We start from the raw sequence: 17,058 nt of genomic DNA, 5'->3' as shown, positions 1-17,058 counted from the left end.
GCTGTGAAGAGTCTGTTTTCTGCCGGGCGTGGTGGCACATGCCTGTAATCCCAACTGCTGGGGAGGCTGAGGCAGGAGAATCACTTGAACTCGGGAGGCGGAGGTTGCAGTGAGCCCAGATCACGCCACTGCACTCCAGCCTGGATGACAGCGAGACTCTGTATCAATAAAAAAAAAAAAAGAGTCTGTTTTCTCCAGGGCCTCCCCGGGCGCACCCCCAGGGCGCCTTCTCCTTCCCCACGGTTCCTTCTTCGGCCCAGCGTGCCTTTGCTGCTCCCTAGCGGACAACTTGGCCAAGGCCGCTGTCCCTGCGGAGGCGACTCCAGCACTTTCTACAAAATCAGTGCTTTCTGCACAAAAACAAATATCATGCTTCAAACTGTTAAGCTTGCACAAAACTGATTCATATCCTATTCAAATCAGTTTTGTGCAAGCTTGACAGTTTCAAGCATATTTGCTTGAACATATATCACATATTCAAATAGGATACAATGTTTGGAGGATATTTAAATAGAAGCTGTGGGTTCCCTGGTCTGTTCTACCCACATCGGCCTGCTTGTCTGCTGGTGGCCTTCTCTGGTCACACCCTGTTGCAAGTGCTGGGGATGTAGGGCCCAGCCCCACAGATCCTCTCTGCATGGGGACAGGGACGGGGAGGCCCCACCTCAAGCCACAGATTCTAAAGACAAGGGGTATTTCCAAGGGTGCTGTGACGCGGGAGTGGTGGGTACCATGGGAAGGAGGCTGCTCTGCTCCAGGGCCCTCAGGGGCACTGTGGACGGGTCAGGGGGTGACAGAGCCTTGCCAGAGGTCAGGACCATCTTTGGGAAGGGTCCAGGTTGTGTGGAGAGAGAGGGCAGCGCTGGCTTGTCCAGGGCAGTGTCAGTGGGACAGGAGACTGTGAGCCCAACCACGGGCATGTGGAGGCCACAGTGGGAATTTGGGGAGAGCCACTTACAGGGAGGAGACGGGTTCCTTTCGAGACGCAGCACTCAGGGAGACGCAGCACTCAGGGAGACGCAGCAGGCCGCTGGAGTCCCATGATGACCCCTCTGACTCAAGCAGGCGTGACCGTCTGGTCAGGACACCCCGCACCTCCGCTCCTCTCCTGAAAACCTGGAAACAGGATGAGTCCTGTCCTAGGGTCACGTGGTGGCTCTGAGTAAACTCAGAGGAGTGGGCTTGCCACAGCCACCCTGGTGTCCTCCTCCCACCTGGGCATTGAGCAGTGCTGGTCCACCTGGTGGCCGGCCCAGGACCACAAGGCACACAGGCCCTACATGGCAGAGCTGGCCTGCCCCACTGTGGAGTGGCCCTAGAGTGAGAAGGGCAGATGGGCCCGGATTCCCTTACTTCAGTCCCTGCAATGCTCCCTGCTGCCCAGGGAGAGGCCCAGACCCCTGAGAGGGGTCTCTGCTCACTCTTCCAGCCCACCCTCCTCCACTTCACACTCTATGCTGGCAGACGGGAACTTTGTTTCCCAAAGGTTCCTCCCTTCTCCTCCATCTTCCTGACCTTCTTTTCCTCTACTACTGTCTTGGCTGCCTCCTGACATCTTTCAGGTCACAGCAGGCATGTAACCTCCTCCAGGAAGCCTTCCTTGATTCCCTCTGTCCTTGCCCATTCTTGTCTATCCCTTGAGAGTCAGAGGAGGCCTTGCCCAGTGGTGTATTTTCATGGGAGGGGGCCGATCAGTTTGTGGAATAATTGATGAAGAAGGCCCTGGTCTGGACTCGGGAGCCTGTGGCCGGGTCATCACAGCCGGGCCTGCGCTGGAGCCATGGCACGTCGGACGCAGGGTCGCCCAAGGCTGTCCCAGGGAAGGGCTCTGCATCCTGGTGCTCCTGCAGGCTGGGCCAAAGCTTCTCAGGTGGGGCTGCTGCCATCTGCTGGAGAGGACCTGAGGCCCCTCCTGGGAGGGGCTCCGGAGACACAGCGGCCCCTTGGTTCTGCAGCTTGGGCCGGCTGGGCTTTGAGCGTGCTCTCTGCTTCCTCTGCTCGCGCCGCAGGTACTACTTTTTGGTGTACAATGCATCAGTCCTCTACTGGCAGATGGTGAGGCCGTTCCTCAAGCCTGGATATCGTCACCATCTGATCCCCAGCCTTTCCCAAATCATAAACGTGCTGAGTCAGACTGAGGAGGAAGACAAGGAGTGGCGTGCTGAGCTGATGCTGTGAGTTGAGCTCGCCGTGCCCTCTGTGGCCTCCCGGTGGGCCGCCCTCTGGCTCTGAGGCCACCACCCCTTCTCCGGGGGGGGGACGGGAGTTCCACATCACTGGGGCACACTCCATGTGCGTTCTCTCCCACAGTCACAAGTTTCTGTGTGTCTTGTCCGAAGGTCGTTTCCAAAATCTGTAGATGACATTTGCCGTGCCCTGGTTATGAGGTTATGACAACAGAACAAGATACTGTGTTTAGACTCCCAGCAAAGCAGATATGATCCTGCCCCACGCAGCCTGGCTCACGGTTTTACAATCTTAGTTCTTAAAATGGTAACGCAGTAGACGTTTTAACAGCGTAAAACTAAGCAGAGTCAGCACATGCGGAGCCCAGGCAGCCCTGCGAGGAAGTTGGGGCAGCACAGGGCAGGCCGGCCTTGCTGGGTCTCAGCCCTGAGGGGTCACCGCACAGGCTGTCACCAATGCTTCGGTCACTGTGCCGGGCGGCGGAAAGGAAACGGGTCCGAGCCTCTCTGTGTCTGCGGCACTCTCTGTGCAGGCTGGGGACGGGTGGATGTCCCCATTGAGGATTCCAGCTGTGCCAACTCCAGAGCAGCTCCCCTCGGCACCAAGCCCACAGCCTGCAGGTGTTGGTTACTTGCCATATGGCCGTTTGGGGAACCTTTGAAGAATATCAATACAGATCTTTCATTTCAAAATGCCCCGGTGCTAGCGGTAACGAGCTGTCTGGCACCTGCTGGCCCTTCCTGGTGAGCCACACAGCCTGGTTCTGGCTGAAGAAGCTGACCCCAGGGTAGCTTTTAAACTTTGTGAAACACAAAATATGTAATGGTTTAATAACCTGGTTATTAGATAGGAGAAAACAGTTTCAACCAGGTTGACCAGTGGTGTGTTTCTATTATCCAGGGAACTTCTGGAGTGTTATCTGCAAGCCGGAAGAAAGGAGGAGGCTGCCAGGTTCTGCTCCACGGCAGCTCCGTTCATTAAGTCTCACGTGCCACAGAAATACCGGCAGATATTCTCTGTTATGGTAAATCAGCGTATTAGAAATAGAGACGTAAGAAGTAATTTTCTTAAAAGTCATTGTTCAGAAAACTGCGTAGAAATTACATAAGTTTGCTGAGAGATATAAAAATCTATATGCATACATACATGAACAAAATTACATAAGCATATTAAAAAGAAATAGCAGTTCATCCAATGCAAAGATGTATAGAACTGTGACATTTAGAAAACAAAACAGGGTCTTTTGCCTTTATCGTCGCTCTTTAAATATTTCCTTTGTAATAGCTTTGAATTTTTTTAAAGTTAATAGAAAATTCACAAAGATACAAGTAATTACTACAAGAATATGTACCAAAAGCATTCATTCATCAGCAGTCCATTTTGACATATGGGGAATCAGCTTAAGTTGTATCTGAAAAGCTAGATACAAAATTAATGAGAAAATAAAATCTAGACACAAAATCTGAACCTCTACCGAATTGTTTGAATCCAGATTAATAATCTGCTCCATTTTATGACAGGTTCGTCATGAATTAATGGACGAACTTCAGTTAAAGGAAGAAAAGAAAAATTCCATTAGCCTGTCAGTCACTTTCTATATTAATATGCTAAAGGCGTAAGTCGTTTTGGGAGGGAGAGCAAATACTGAGTTTCACAAGTGCTGGGCTTGGGAGAGCTCTGTCCCCTCCATGGGGGGAGGTCCTGTGTCCAGGGGCCTGTGAGTCTGGAGTTGCAGTGAGTGGGGCTGGAGAATAGGAGCCTGGGAGACCTCAGGGTGTGGGGATCCGAAGGCCACCCCAATTCCTGGCCCTGCCTCCCTCCCAGCACAGAGGAGAGGCCAGTGAGGCCACAGAAGGGAGAGGGCGGCTTTAAGCCAAGTGCAGAAAGAGCCTGTAGGAGGAGATCATGGTGTGTTTGGATGCCGAGGGGAGTGAGGAGATCATGGTGTGTTTGGATGCCAAGGGGAGTGAGGAGATCACAGTGTATTTGGGGGCAGAGGGGAGTGAGGAGATCACAGTGTATTTGGGGGCTGAGGGGAGTGAGGAGATCACAGTGTATTTGGGGGCCGAGGGGAGTGAGGAGATCACAGTGTGTTTGGGTGCCGAGGGGAGTGAGGAGATCACAGTGTGTTTGGATGCCGAGGGGAGTGAGGAGATCACAGTGTGTTTGGATGTGAGGGGAGTGAGGAGATCACAGTGTGTTTGGGTGCCGAGGGGAGTGAGGAGATCACAGTGTGTTTGGATGTGAGGGGAGTGAGGAGATCGCAGTGTGTTTGGGTGCCGAGGGGAGTGAGGAGATCACAGTGTGTTTGGATGTGAGGGGAGTGAGGAGATCGCAGTGGGTTTGGGTGCCGAGGGGAGTGAGGAGATCACAGTGTGTTTGGGGGCTGAGGGGAGTGAGGAGATCACAGTGTATTTGGGGGCCGGGGGGAGTGAGGATATCACAGTGTGTTTGGGTGCCGAGGGGAGTGAGGAGATCACAGTGTGTTTGGATGCCGAGGGGAGTGAGGAGATCACAGTGTGTTTGGATGTGAGGGGAGTGAGGAGATCACAGTGTGTTTGGGTGCCGAGGGGAGTGAGGAGATCACAGTGTGTTTGGATGTGAGGGGAGTGAGGAGATCGCAGTGTGTTTGGGTGCCGAGGGGAGTGAGGAGATCACAGTGTGTTTGGATGATGAGGGGAGTGAGGAGATCACGGTGGGTTTGGGTGCTGAGGGCTGTGAGGAGATCACAGTGTGTTTGGGTGCCGAGGGGAGTGAGGAGATCACAGTGTGTTTGGATGTGAGGGGAGTGAGGAGATCACAGTGTGTTTGGGTGCTGAGGGCTGTGAGGAGATCACAGTGTGTTTGGGTGCCGAGGGGAGTGAGGAGATCACAGTGTGTTTGGATGTGAGGGGAGTGAGGAGATCTCAGTGTGTTTGGGTGCTGAGGGGAGTGAGGAGATCACAGTGTGTTTGGGTGCCGAGGGGAGCGAGGAGATCACAGTGGGTTTGGGTGCTGAGGGGAATGAGAAGATCGCAGTGTGTTTGGGTGCCGAGGGGAGTGAGGAGATCACAGTGTGTTTGGGTGCTGAGGGGAGTGAGGAGATCACGGTGTGTTTGGGTGCTGAGGGGAGTGAGGAGATCGCAGTGTGTTTGGGTGCTGAGGGGAATGAGAAGATCTCAGTGTGTTTGGGTGCTGAGGGGAGTGAGGAGATCACAGTGTGTTTGGGTGCCAAGGGGAGTGAGGAGATCACAGTGGGTTTGGGTGCTGAGGGGAATGAGAAGATCGCAGTGTGTTTGGGTGCTCAGGGGAGTGAGGAGATCACAGTGGGTTTGGATACCAAGGGGAGTGAGGAGATCTGAGGTATTTGTGTCCTATGGGCAGCATCCCTGGGAGAGAGCAATGCTGGCCCAGGTCCTATCGCCGTTGAGCAGAGAGAGTGCCCCACATTTCCCGTGTTTGGCTCCTATGTGGGGTGCTGACTCTGGCGAGGGGTCTGGGCCCTCTGAGTGTTTCTATTCCAGCCTTGTAGGAAGGCCGGGCATCATGGAGGGAAGGAGGACCAGAAGGGGTGAAAAGTCATCTCAGGAATTTGAGGAAAGAAGGCAGGAGGGGTTATTTTCAGTCTCCTCTTCAGTGAGAAACACAATTTCATACACGCAGAGTTTCTCTTAGAAGAATTTGAATAAATCTGACAGGATCTTGTGCTGAATTACTCTCTGAATTATTTCTAGAAAAGCGGAGCAAAATGATTTACCAGGTGACATCAGTGTCATTCTGAGGAAGGCCTACAGACACTTAGGTCATTACAACCACCAGCGCTTTCCCTCTATCAGTGAAGAAAAGTAAGTGTTTGTATTTTTCCAATATCACATCTTCATAATCGTTGTACAAAATTTAGCAGGCACTGAAAAATGTGAAAAAATGTAAAACAAGCAACTAGAACCACCTTTGCAAAAGCCAGCCATTGTGGAGGTTTTAGTAAGGTCCTGTCTGGTCTTTTGTGGCCTGAGATTTGTACTGTCTTGCGAATACTTTCATACCCTACTTTTTAACATGAGTTTAGTTTGTAGGCATATGGATGGTTAGGTCACTGTGGCACCTCTCACGGTTCTGGTGGCTGCGTGGCGTTCCATGGGTGGGAAAACACAGGTTTCTCTGGAGCCTTTTTCAGGCTGGTTTGTTTGGATTCTGTGCTTTCTCGAATCCTCCAGGCACTGTTGAGAGTTTGGGATAAGTCCTGGGCTGGTATCCTGGAAGCAGGAAGCTGAGCCCGAGGCTTTCAGAAGCACATGGAAAGCACTGGCTGGTTTTGCCTTCGTGGGCACGGGGTGGGTGGGGGGGTTTGTCCCCTGCCCCTGGAGCGATTTTGTCACCTCCTTAGTAGCACTGTGTATATTTTTAAGAAAATGGGAAACAAGTAAAGCTTGTTGATATGGGAGGCTGAAATTATCTGTTTGGTTTTCTGGTGGCCATGGGAAACTAACAGAGAAGGTGTATTAGTTATCTGCAGCTGCGTAACAAGTACCCACAAACTTAGGAGCTTGAAACAACACAGGTCCATGACCTCACCGTGTCTGCGGTTCAGGTACCCGGGCACAGGTCCATGACCTCGCTGTGTCTGCGGGATGGGAACCTGGGCACAGATCCATGACCTCCCTGTGTCTGTGGGACGGGAACCTGGGCACAGCAGCAGCCACAGTGTTGACTGGTCTGGGGTCTTTTCTCGAGGCTGGACTGGGGAAGGGGTCCCCCAAGCTCACAGGGGTGTTGAGAGGACTCGGTTCCTGTGGGTTCAGGCCTCGGTCCTGGTGGGACAGCTTGCTTCATCAGTGCTAGCGAGGGGCGCCAGACGCCAGCACGTTCGTGGTCTCATCAGGGAGGTGGCACCTGCCCAACATTGAGGTCTCCGCTGCTCAGCTGCAGGCTCCTCGAGGGAGGGGCCCCAGGACCGCAGGGTGGCTGCTGGGCCACAGCCTGGGCCGCAGGGGCACAGGGCCAGCCTGCTGGTGGGTCTGTTTTTGGGAGGGGTATGAGTGCATGTGTACATGGGGATGTGTGTGGATATATTGTTCTGGAAGGAGTTTACGTCTTCCATCAGACCCTCCAGGTTGTTCTAACTGAAGTCCGGCCAAGCGTGGCCGTGGCCCTGGCCGAGCATCCCCTTCTGTGGCCAGGCGCTCCGACGAGAGGTCTTGGGACCAGTGTAAATAGCCCTGTTCCGAGGTCTGTCCACAGGCGGCATTCTCAGGCACTTTTACGGATTCTCTCTTCCCGACCTGCCCAGCAGGCCTGTGCGCTGGAGCTCAGGTAGGACGGAGAGGCCAGTGTTGTGATGCCAGGCCTGCCAGGACCTGAGAGGGCCCAACAGCAGAGCAGGGGGAGGAGGAGGTGGGCAGGGACGAGGGGCGGAGAAGCGTCCGCACCCCACCCCAAAGCAGCCTCCTGCCCACAGCTACCCAGGGATGCAGGGAGGATGGTCACACCACACTGAGGGCCGAGTTGAGTCGCTGCCAGCAGCCGCCAATTGTGTTCCCGGTAAGACTGTGATTACTCCCCGGGAAACAGCAGAAGACATGTAGACCTGCTCCCCAAGGACATTTGGCAATGTCTGGAGACACTGTGGGCGGCTGCTCTTCATCTAGCGGGCAGCTGCAGGGACACAATGGACAGGCTCCTCCTGGAAGAGAGGCGTCCCGGAGGGAAACCCTGGCCTAATCTCCACCGGAGGAGCGTGATCCTGATCCCTGCAGCTCAACAGGAAGCCTTAGAGTGGAGAGCTGAGAGCACCCGCTGTGCTCTTTCTTGAAGTTGTCTGGAGCACTGTGGGTCCTTGCATGTGGATACAAATTTTAGCCTCAGCCTGTCAGTTTCTGCAAAGACCCTGATTGGTGACTGCAGGTGCGGTTGGCGGCACGCCTACGGGCTTGTCGCATGGTAGGAAGGCCCAGGCTCTGTGTGGGGAGCGTGGGGAAGCCCAGGCTCTGTGTGGGGAGGAGGAAGCTGCAGGATCTATGTGGGGAGGAAGAAGGCCCAGGCTCTGTATGGGGAGCGTGGGAAGACCCAGGCCCTGTGTCAGGAGTGTTGGGAAGGTTCAGCCTCTGTGTGAAGAGGTGGAAGGCCTAGGCTCTGTGTGAGGAGTGTGGGGAGGCCCAGGCTCTGTGTGGCGACAAGGAAGGCCCAGCCTCTGTGTGTGGAGGAGGAAGGCCCAGCCTCTGCGTGGGGAGGAGGAAAGCCCAGGCTCTATGTGGGGAATGTGGGGAGGCCCAGGCTCTGTGTGGAGAGGAGGGAGGCCCAGGCTCTGTGTGGAGAGGAGGGAGGCCCAGGCTCTGTGTGGGGAGGAGGAAGGCCCAGGCTCTGTGTGGGGAGTGTAGGGAGACCCAGGCTCTGTGTGAGAAGTGTGAGGAGGCCTAGGCTCTGTGTGAGAAGTGTGGGGAGGCCTAGCCTCTGTGTGGGGAAGGCCCAGGCTCTGTGTGGGGAGGAGGAAGGCCCAGGCTCTGTGTGGGGAGGATGAAGGTCCAGGCTCTGTGTGGGGAGCAGGAAGGCCCAGGCTTTGTGTGAGAAGTCTGGGGAGGCCCAGCCTCTGTGTGGGGAGTGTGGGGAGGCCCAGGCTCTGTGTGGCGACAAGGAAGGCCCAGCCTCTGTGTGTGGAGGAGGAAGGCCCAGCCTCTGCGTGGGGAGGAGGAAAGCCCAGGCTCTATGTGGGGAATGTGGGGAAGGCCCAGGCTCTGTGTGGGGAGTGTAAGGAGGCCCAGGCTCTGTGTGGGGAAGAGGAAGGCCCAGGCTCTGTGTGGGGAGGAGGAAGGTCCAGGCTCTGTGTGGCAAGGAGGAAGGCCCAGGCTCTGCGTGGGGAGTGTGGGGAGGCCCAGGCTCTGTGTGGAGAGGAGGGAGGCCCAGGCTCTGTGTGGGGAGGAAGAAGGCCCAGGCTCTGTGTGGGGAGTGTAGGGAGGCCCAGGCTCTGTGTGAAAAGTGTGGGGAGGCCTAGCCTCTGTATGGGGAAGGCCCAGGCTCTGTGTGGGGAGGAGGAAGGCCCAGGCTCTGTGTGAGAAGTATTGGGAGGCCTAGCCTCTGTGTGGGGAGGGTGGGGAGGCCCAGGCTCTGTGTAGAGAGGAGGAAGGCCCAGGCTCTGTGTGAGGAATGTGGGGAAGGCCCAGTCTCTGAGTGGAGAGTGTGGGGAGGCCCAGGCTCTTTTTGGGGAGGAGGAAGGCCCAGGCTCTGTGTGGGGAGGAGGAAAGCCCAGGCTCTGCGTGGGGAGTGTGGGGAAGGCCCAGGCTCTGCGTGAGGAGTGTGGGGAAGGCCCAGGCTCTGCGTGGGGAGTGTGGGGAAGGCCCAGGCTCTGCGTGGGGAGTGTGGGGAAGGCCCAGGCTCTGTGTGGGGAGTGTGGGGAAGGCCCAGGCTCTGTGTGGGGAGGAGGAAGGCCCAGGCTCTGTGTGGCGAGGAGGAAGGTCCAGGCTCTGCGTGGGGAGTGTGGGGAAGGCCCAGGCTCTGCGTGGGGAGTGTGGGGAGGCCCAGGCTCTGTGTGGAGAGGAGGGAGGCCCAGGCTCTGTGTGGGGAGTGTGGGGAGGCCCAGGTTTTGTTTGTGGAGGAGGAAGGCCCAGGCTCTGTGTGGGGAGTGTAGGGAGGCCCAGGCTCTGTGTGAGAAGTGTGGGGAGGCCTAGCCTCTGTGTGGGGAAGGCCCAGGCTCTGTGTGAGGAGTGTGGGGAAGGCCCAGGCTCTGCGTGGGGAGTGTGGGGAAGGCCCAGGCTCTGTGTGAGGAGTGTGGGGAAGGCCCAGGCTCTGCGTGGGGAGTGTGGGGAAGGCCCAGGCTCTGTGTGGGGAGTGTGGGGAAGGCCCAGGCTCTGTGTGGGGAGGAGGAAGGCCCAGGCTCTGTGTGGCGAGGAGGAAGGTCCAGGCTCTGCGTGGGGAGTGTGGGGAAGGCCCAGGCTCTGCGTGGGGAGTGTGGGGAGGCCCAGGCTCTGTGTGGAGAGGAGGGAGGCCCAGGCTCTGTGTGGGGAGTGTGGGGAGGCCCAGGTTTTGTTTGTGGAGGAGGAAGGCCCAGGCTCTGTGTGCGGAGTGTGGGGAAGGCCCAGGCTCTGTGTGGGGAGGAGGAAGGCCCAGGCTCTGTGTGGGGAGTATGGGGAAGGCCCAGGCTCTGTGTGGAGAGTGTGGGGAAGTCCCAGGCTCTGTGTGGGAAGAAGGAAGGCTCAGGCTCTGTGTGGAGAGTGTAGGGAAGGCCCAGGCTCTGTATGGGGAGGAGGAAGGCCCAGGCTCTGTGTGGGGAGTGTGGGGAGTCCCATGCTCTGTGTGGGGAGGAGGAAGGTTCGGGCTCTGTGTGGGGAGTGTGGGGAGTCCCATGCTCTGTGTGGGGAGGAGGAAGGTTCGGGCTCTGTGTGAAGAGGAACCTGCCTCTTCCCTGCATGGCCTCTGGCCTCGCTGAGCTGCAGATGTGGGTCTGAGCTGCTGTGCAATGCAATGGCTTTGAGTACGCATGTCGTCATCCCTGTGCTTCTCCTGGGTTCTGCACATGACCTGAAGCCTGGAGAGCGAGGAGCAGGGTGTCCAGTAGGGACGTGGCCCTGGGCAGCCTCCACAACTGTGCTGGCCCCGGGAGACTGCTGGGCTCCGGTGCTGTAGCTTGAAGCCCTGCTGGGGCCTCCCCACAGGGCTTCTGTTCTAATTAACTTAATTTTATTTATTTCTTATCCTACCTTTATTTCCTGCTTCTGCTTGAACGGGGGACATGGATTCTCGCCTGCAGCCATGTTTCCTGTGCCCCCTATTGAGCCGGTGCTGGCTGGTTTGTTTGTTTGCAGAATGCTTTTGCTTTTTGAATTGGCGCGTTTTTCCTTGACCTTGAAATGCATGGAGATCTCCTCTGCCTGCCTCTCAGACCTGAAGAAGATGGAAAGCAAAGTAAGTGGCTTCATGACACTGCTGCCTGGGGATGAGGCGCTGCTCACCGTGCAGTTGGACAAAAGGCAAAGAAAGGAAGAGCAGTTCACCAGGCCACGGCCCCCAGGGCTTCGGTCCGTGGTTGGCACATTGCCGTCTTTCCTACCTGTGTTTTGCACAGTTGCAGTTAGATGGTGTTTGCAATTTTACACCTGCCCGTTTCTCTTTACCTTTCTTGTGGCCACGGGTCCACAGCACCACAGTTGTTTCTAGAGTCCAATTTACGGACGGCGTAAAATTTCATGATGCTGATGATCCAGAACATCCTCCACCAGTCCCATTATTGGACGTGTAAATCACACCGGCAGTGCCTCGTTACCCGCAGTTCACTTTCTGCAGTTTGTTACCTGCAGACAGCTACAGTATGAAAATATTAAGCTATTCTGAGGGAGAGGCCACAGCCACATCACTTCTGTTACAGTATAGTGTTATGATTGTATCTTATTATTAGTTATTGTTATAAATATCTTATTGTGCCTAATTTAGAAATTGAAGTTTATCGTAGGGATTTCCGTCTAGAAAAATCACAGTATAATCGGGTTTCGGACTACTCCACGTTTCAGGCCTCCACTGGGTTGGGGGGTCTTGAAACGTATCCTCTCAGAGAAGGGGGGGCTACCGTATAATTTTTTGCTTATTACATAAAGGGCTGCAGTGAACATTTTGTGCCTAAAACATTTTTCTGCGTTTAGGATTTTTCCCTAAGATGAGTATATTTACATGAAATGACTAGGGAATTTTCACTTTTAATATTTTAAGAATACACGTTAGAGTATTGCCCTCCAGAAGAAGCTTCACACAACGACAAGTGTGTAAGACTGCATACATCAGGTTTGCCGATGCTTTCAGGAACTGTGACAGGCTCTTCCACAGAGCAGGGAAAATGTGATCAGTTTATCAGGGATGGTTTTGAGCAAACTGAGTGTCGCTTTACACACAGAGAGTGAAGAAGGGGGACCCTCGGATGCACAGCCACATGCTGGGGCCTCCCTGTGTGCTGTCTTCATTGAGCACTTGCTGTGTGCTTTGCCCAGGTTACCTAAGAGTGAACGTAAACCAACCATCAGTGGCGCAGGAGACACGGCCATGGCTCAGCACGGGGGGAGCCGTCCAGTCACGCTGAGGGCTGTGCTGATCTGGAAATGGTTTCAGAATAGGAGATGCAGTTCACGTGGCCTTGACAGCCAGGCAGCCCTTGGAGGGACCGCCCACCAGGGTGCAGGTGGGAAGCGTGGTCAAGGCTGGAAACAGCAGCCCATGCCGCACGGAGGATGGGAGCAGCGTGGGAGGCTCCTGTGTTTGATGCCCTTTACCGGCTTCTGTGGGCCCCATTTCCATCTTCTGGGTTTTCACGGCACGGTGTCCCCAATTCAGAATGACTATGGAACGCCTGGGTCCGGCCCCACTTCCTCCTTCCCAGCAGCCCTTCCTTCAGCTCCCTGTGCCTCAGGGCTTGTCCCTGCAAAATGGCAGCAGTAACAGGACCCATCTCCAAGGGCTGCTGTGGAACTGAGAGCAATGTTTTGTGTATCCCAGGTTGAGGCTCTCGGGTGGGCCCCTGCTGACGTGGGGTCGCTGTTAGGGAGGCTCCTGTGGCCCAACTCTGCCCCCACCGCCCGTGGCCCCTGCACAGCATGTTCCTCTGCCCCGGCTTGAGGACACTGTCCTGGCCCTTTGCCCGGTTGGCCTCTGCCCATCCCTCAGGCCCCAGCCCTCCTGTTACCTCCTGACCACTGGTCGAAAGCGACCTTCTCTAGGTAAACATTCTACCAGGAGGCTCATTATCCCCGCCAGCCTACTGTTAGACATTCAGGATCTCACGAGATTTATTTTAAATTAAAAGCTCACTAATGTTAAGGATATGAATAGTTTTTAATTTTGAAGCCTTGGTGCATTTTTAAAGACTATCCACTGTAATACATTTCACAATTGCCTGAGTGAATGGTGGAAATGATTTAACCAGGCAGACACCTGGACTTGTGGGACCACATAAAGAGTTTTAAGATCCGTGAACGTGTGGGAAGCACGGAACGCTTTTTCTGACCTCTGTGAAGCCTGGCATGGCTTCCTTAGTGGCATGGAGGCTTGCAGCCGCTGGACAGGCCGGGGCACACAGCCTGGGGTGGTGGCCTCCTGCGCTCTCCATCCTGGCCGGCACCGAGGCCCAGACATGCAGGACTGCGGTGCAGCCATCCCGAGGTGCTGCGGGTACTTCCCGTGCTTGTGGACGTCTGCCGCCGAGGACCTGCTCCCCGGGACGGAGGCGTCTGCCGCCGAGGACCTGCTCCCCGGGACGGAGGCGTCTGCCGCCGAGGACCTGCTCCCCGGGACGGAGGCGTCTGCCGCCGAGGACCTGCTCCCCGGGACGTCTGTGTCTGATAGTTGTGAAGATGCTTCACCATCATCAGCGCCTGCGCTCACAGACTAGGAGCTTGAGTCTCCTGTGTCCAGAAGACCTGCACCCCTCACGCCAGGGCGGGTTTAGGGGTGTCACCCCTCGAGCGGGGTGGGTTTAGTGGTCTTTGGATGACAGCCACACGTTGCTCCCCAGCTTTTGTAAGGCCACCGAGGCCTGGGAACATCTTCCCCGAGCTCAGCAAGCCCCCAAGAAAGGAGAGGTAGAGTGCCCTTCTTCCCGGTGTGACGTACAACACATTGCTTCCCAGACTTCAGCGCAGCCCCGGGCCGCCAAGCAGCCTGGCTGAGGCCTGGGTACCAGGTGTTGGGGGCCGGGACAAGGCCCCTGAAAAGGGCAAACTCAGGACCCTCCCGTGCCGCTCTCAGGTGGTGGGGCCCGCAGGCAGACAAGGAGTTGGTGTAGCTGAAAACACGGCTTCCTCACTTAAACCTCTGCGTCATAGGTGTCTTTGTGTCATCGTGTGACTTGTATTTGTTAAACCTCTACCCAGTAATATTTTAAATGCCTTTGAATTTCATGAATGTACACAGCTGCTTCCCTTACAGATCTCCATCTTTTCAAAAACTGTTTATATCTGCAGGATCCTGGGAAGCTTATTGAAATGGAATGTCTGGAGTGTGAATCGGAAGCTTTAAGACTTGAAAGTAAGATGAAAGTGTACAACCGAGCGGCTGTTGAGGTCAGTCCTTACGCAGGAGTCATACACCTGGCATTATTTTGCAGATTCCTGGAGCTTGGTGCAAGTTGAGTGTGTCCCAGGCTTGAGGGTGCTGGGGACATGGCCTGGACCCCACTGCTAGACTCGCCCTGGCTCCCGTGACAGCGGGTGTGAGTCCAGCCTCCAGTGCCACACTCCCTGTCCTGCGCACAGGGGCCTACACGCCGCCCTGGTGGGGTGGGGTCGTGCAGGTGGGGGCTGGGATGCGACTCCCTCTGACCCTCCTCCTGCAGCCCCCACGGAGCTGCCCCCTCCCCGCCGTGTGGTGATGCCTGCCTGGGAGGACGGGGGACGGCCACGCGTCCCATGAGGGCTTTCTGCCAGCCTCACTTGAGTCCGGGAAGGCGTCCTAATGATGAGGGGCAAAAGCCACCGCCGGCCCTGGCGTCAGGTGCCAATTACAGGCACTTGACCCACCTCTGTCCTGCTGTCTGAGACGACAGGCTCTGGAATAGCAGCCACTACCAGGAAAGGAACTAGGAATCCTTTTAGACTCTTCCTCAGTAATAATTTCCCAGTTAAAAGATGAACAGAAACCTCACAGGATGGTGGCCTGCAGCCCTGATGTGGTACCACGGCAAGTGCCACAGGGTCGGCTGGGAACCCTCAGGCCCTGTCAGCCAGGCAGTGCGAGGCTCCGCTGGGTACAGAGGAGCCAGGGGCGTGCGGGTCAGTGCCAGAGGTGCCGTGGCAGGGGATGAGCACGGCAGCTGGGAGGCCTTCCCCATCCCCACTCCTAACGCATCCATCCTCAGCCCGCACTGCCTGGCACACGTGTCACAGCCCGGCGGGTGCCGATGCCGCTGTGGACTTGCTCCTGGGTCTGCCTCCGTGGGGCTGAGCTTCTCGCGGGAGGTTTTTGACTGCTGCTGTGCGCTGGTGCCACACGTGGTAGGCGCTTAATGAGTGTTCGTTTAAGGAATGATTTCCAGACGCTTTGGCTGTTGCACTTTGTTGTGAAAGTGAACAGAGGCTGCTTGTGGCTGTGGCGCTGTGGGTTGTGCGGCTGCTTCCCCGACTCACCTGCTGAGGACCTCAGAGGGGCCGGCACCGGCGTACGAGGCTTTCAGACCCAGCAGCCAAGTGGCAGGATGGAGTTGTGAGGTTCAGGCCCCACCCAGCCCAGGGGCAGCGTGAGGGCTAGGCCCCCGTGGAAGCCACAGGCTGTGGGGACGTGGCCAAGTGAGCCCAGGACGGTGGGCGGTCCAGCAGGGCTTGTGGGAGGTGGGAGTGTGGGGAGACTGCTCCACTGAAATCCTGGCCAAAGCCTTTGTCCTGGGAAGGGCCCGTGTAGCACAGACCGGAGGAGGCATTCTGGGGGTGGGAAGCGTAGCGAGCACAGGCCCCAGGAAAGAGACGGGATCAGGAAGGGAGCAGCGCCCGCTGAGTCCACACGGGGGAGGCGGGCGCAGCCACGATGTGTGGGCACCGCCAAGCCTCCTGCATGTAATATCTTGTGAGACGTCCACTTCCTCCTAGAAAGAGTCACTCTGGCCATTTTCACGGACAGATTTGAGCATGACGCCACGCAGGGTGATGAATTTAGGGCCTGCGTTCTCAGTGTGCCCTGCACGCAGGTGCCGCCCCAGCCCCGCAGCTCGAGCCAGCAACCTCCCTAGAATCCCCCACGTCTTCTCCGCAGGCCCAGCTGGATATCATACAGAGGCTAGACGTCGCGCTGCAGCGAGCCGTGCGCCTGGGCGACCCCCGGGTCATCCACGTGGTGTGCGCCACGCAGTGGAACACCTGCCTGCCCCTGCTGCAGCACAACCTGCGGCACCACCTGCGGAAGCCCCTGGCTGGCGTTGCGGACGTGCTGGAGAAGCTGGACAGGTGGGGCGCTCACCTGTGCTGTGTCCTCCACAGAGGGCGTGGCGCATAGGAGGAGACAGAGGAGGAGAAGGTGGCCCAAGCCCCCTTGCCATGACAGTGCCACAAGCAACAGACTCCCCCTGTACTCAATAAGGGCCACCCTCTGTCCCAGCTCCGGGCCAGGCACGTCGGGTCCTCTGTGGTGCATTGGCGGCGCCAGAGGAAGAAGCAGGCTCGGCCTTGCCTCACGGGCATCTGTGTCCCTCGAGCCTCCATGGAAGGGGCCTGTCATGGCCACAGAGGCCGGGAGTGGGGGGCTGGTTGTGGCCCCGTGGGACTTGGGCCATGCTGGGTGAGACAGGAGTGCTCAGAGGGCCCAGCGTCAGGGAGGAGCACGGTGTGTCCTCAGGGGTGACAGGAATGCAGGGGCCAGCGTGGCAGCAGGCGGCAGGCATCACGGTGGACCATGGCAGGCAGGCGGCAGGCATCAGGGTGGACCATGGCAGGCAGGCGGCAGGCATCAGGGTGGACCATGGCAGGCAGGAGACAGGTACTGGGGGTGAGGTGCAAGGGCAGCCACAAGCTGTTGCAGAGCCTGGGCCCAGGGTGGCTGGAGAATCACAGCCCTGATCTCAGGACCTGTTTCTTGTTGGGAGGGCTCAGCCTCTTCGTTGCCGTCAGCACAATCTTGACTCTGAGTCCGCCGGCTCAGCCCCCGCTCCCTGTCTGCTACCTTCCTGCACTGCCAGTGCTCCTTCCCACCTTCTCTGGGGCTCCCTGAATTTTTCTAGAGTTCTATTTAGTTTTCTCTATTGGCTTCTTGGTTTCTCGACTATACCTTTTGGAGGAATGGAAGATTTCTCTGGGGCTAAGAACATGCACCCTTAACTTAGCACAGTCTGTGTCAGGCCAGCATCACTCCAGCTCATTTCACACAGACACATACCCTAAAACATGGTGACCACACCCCTCACACCCCTGCTGGGCCTTCCTTCGACTTCCCACAGCACAG

The 17,058-nt window shown here is 56.7% G+C and overlaps 1 protein-coding gene across 17 annotated transcripts in view, besides 4 other annotated features; it reads left to right on the top strand.

Moving 5' to 3' along the window:
* Positions 1–17,058, top strand: part of CFAP46 (cilia and flagella associated protein 46) — a 134,179-nt gene that overhangs the window by 1,808 nt on the left and 115,313 nt on the right. For all 17 annotated transcript variants that reach the window (XR_007061969.1, XR_007061970.1, XR_007061971.1 and 14 more), the window contains exons 5-11: positions 2,010–2,174; positions 3,088–3,211; positions 3,708–3,802; positions 5,901–6,011; positions 10,959–11,058; positions 14,097–14,195; positions 15,877–16,067. Coding sequence is in view for 14 of the 17 variants with exons in the window: in NM_001200049.3 (NP_001186978.2) it covers positions 2,010–2,174; positions 3,088–3,211; positions 3,708–3,802; positions 5,901–6,011; positions 10,959–11,058; positions 14,097–14,195; positions 15,877–16,067 (885 nt within the window). In the remaining 3 variants the exon portion in view is untranslated. The remainder of the gene's footprint in view (positions 1–2,009; positions 2,175–3,087; positions 3,212–3,707; positions 3,803–5,900; positions 6,012–10,958; positions 11,059–14,096; positions 14,196–15,876; positions 16,068–17,058) is intronic.
* Positions 1,677–2,402: an enhancer, noted in NCBI's record as "H3K27ac-H3K4me1 hESC enhancer chr10:134751865-134752590 (GRCh37/hg19 assembly coordinates)". NCBI's record gives its function as "activates a minimal SCP1, AML or CMV promoter by ChIP-STARR-seq in naive H9 embryonic stem cells {active_cell/tissue: H9 hESC(naive)}" and the evidence as "EXISTENCE:reporter gene assay evidence [ECO:0000049][PMID:30033119]".
* Positions 2,403–3,130: an enhancer, noted in NCBI's record as "H3K27ac-H3K4me1 hESC enhancer chr10:134751137-134751864 (GRCh37/hg19 assembly coordinates)". NCBI's record gives its function as "activates a minimal SCP1, AML or CMV promoter by ChIP-STARR-seq in naive H9 embryonic stem cells {active_cell/tissue: H9 hESC(naive)}" and the evidence as "EXISTENCE:reporter gene assay evidence [ECO:0000049][PMID:30033119]".
* Positions 8,761–8,830: an enhancer, noted in NCBI's record as "active region_4237". NCBI's record gives its function as "activates an Ori minimal core promoter by ATAC-STARR-seq in GM12878 lymphoblastoid cells {active_cell/tissue: GM12878}" and the evidence as "EXISTENCE:reporter gene assay evidence [ECO:0000049][PMID:35858748]".
* Positions 10,290–10,409: an enhancer, noted in NCBI's record as "active region_4236". NCBI's record gives its function as "activates an Ori minimal core promoter by ATAC-STARR-seq in GM12878 lymphoblastoid cells {active_cell/tissue: GM12878}" and the evidence as "EXISTENCE:reporter gene assay evidence [ECO:0000049][PMID:35858748]".

This window comes from Homo sapiens, chromosome 10 (assembly GCF_000001405.40).
Source record: "Homo sapiens chromosome 10, GRCh38.p14 Primary Assembly".
NCBI classification, from domain to species: Eukaryota; Metazoa; Chordata; class Mammalia; order Primates; family Hominidae; genus Homo; species Homo sapiens.
Note: the sequence above shows the minus strand (reverse complement) of the source record. Positions and strands in the feature narration are given on the sequence as shown.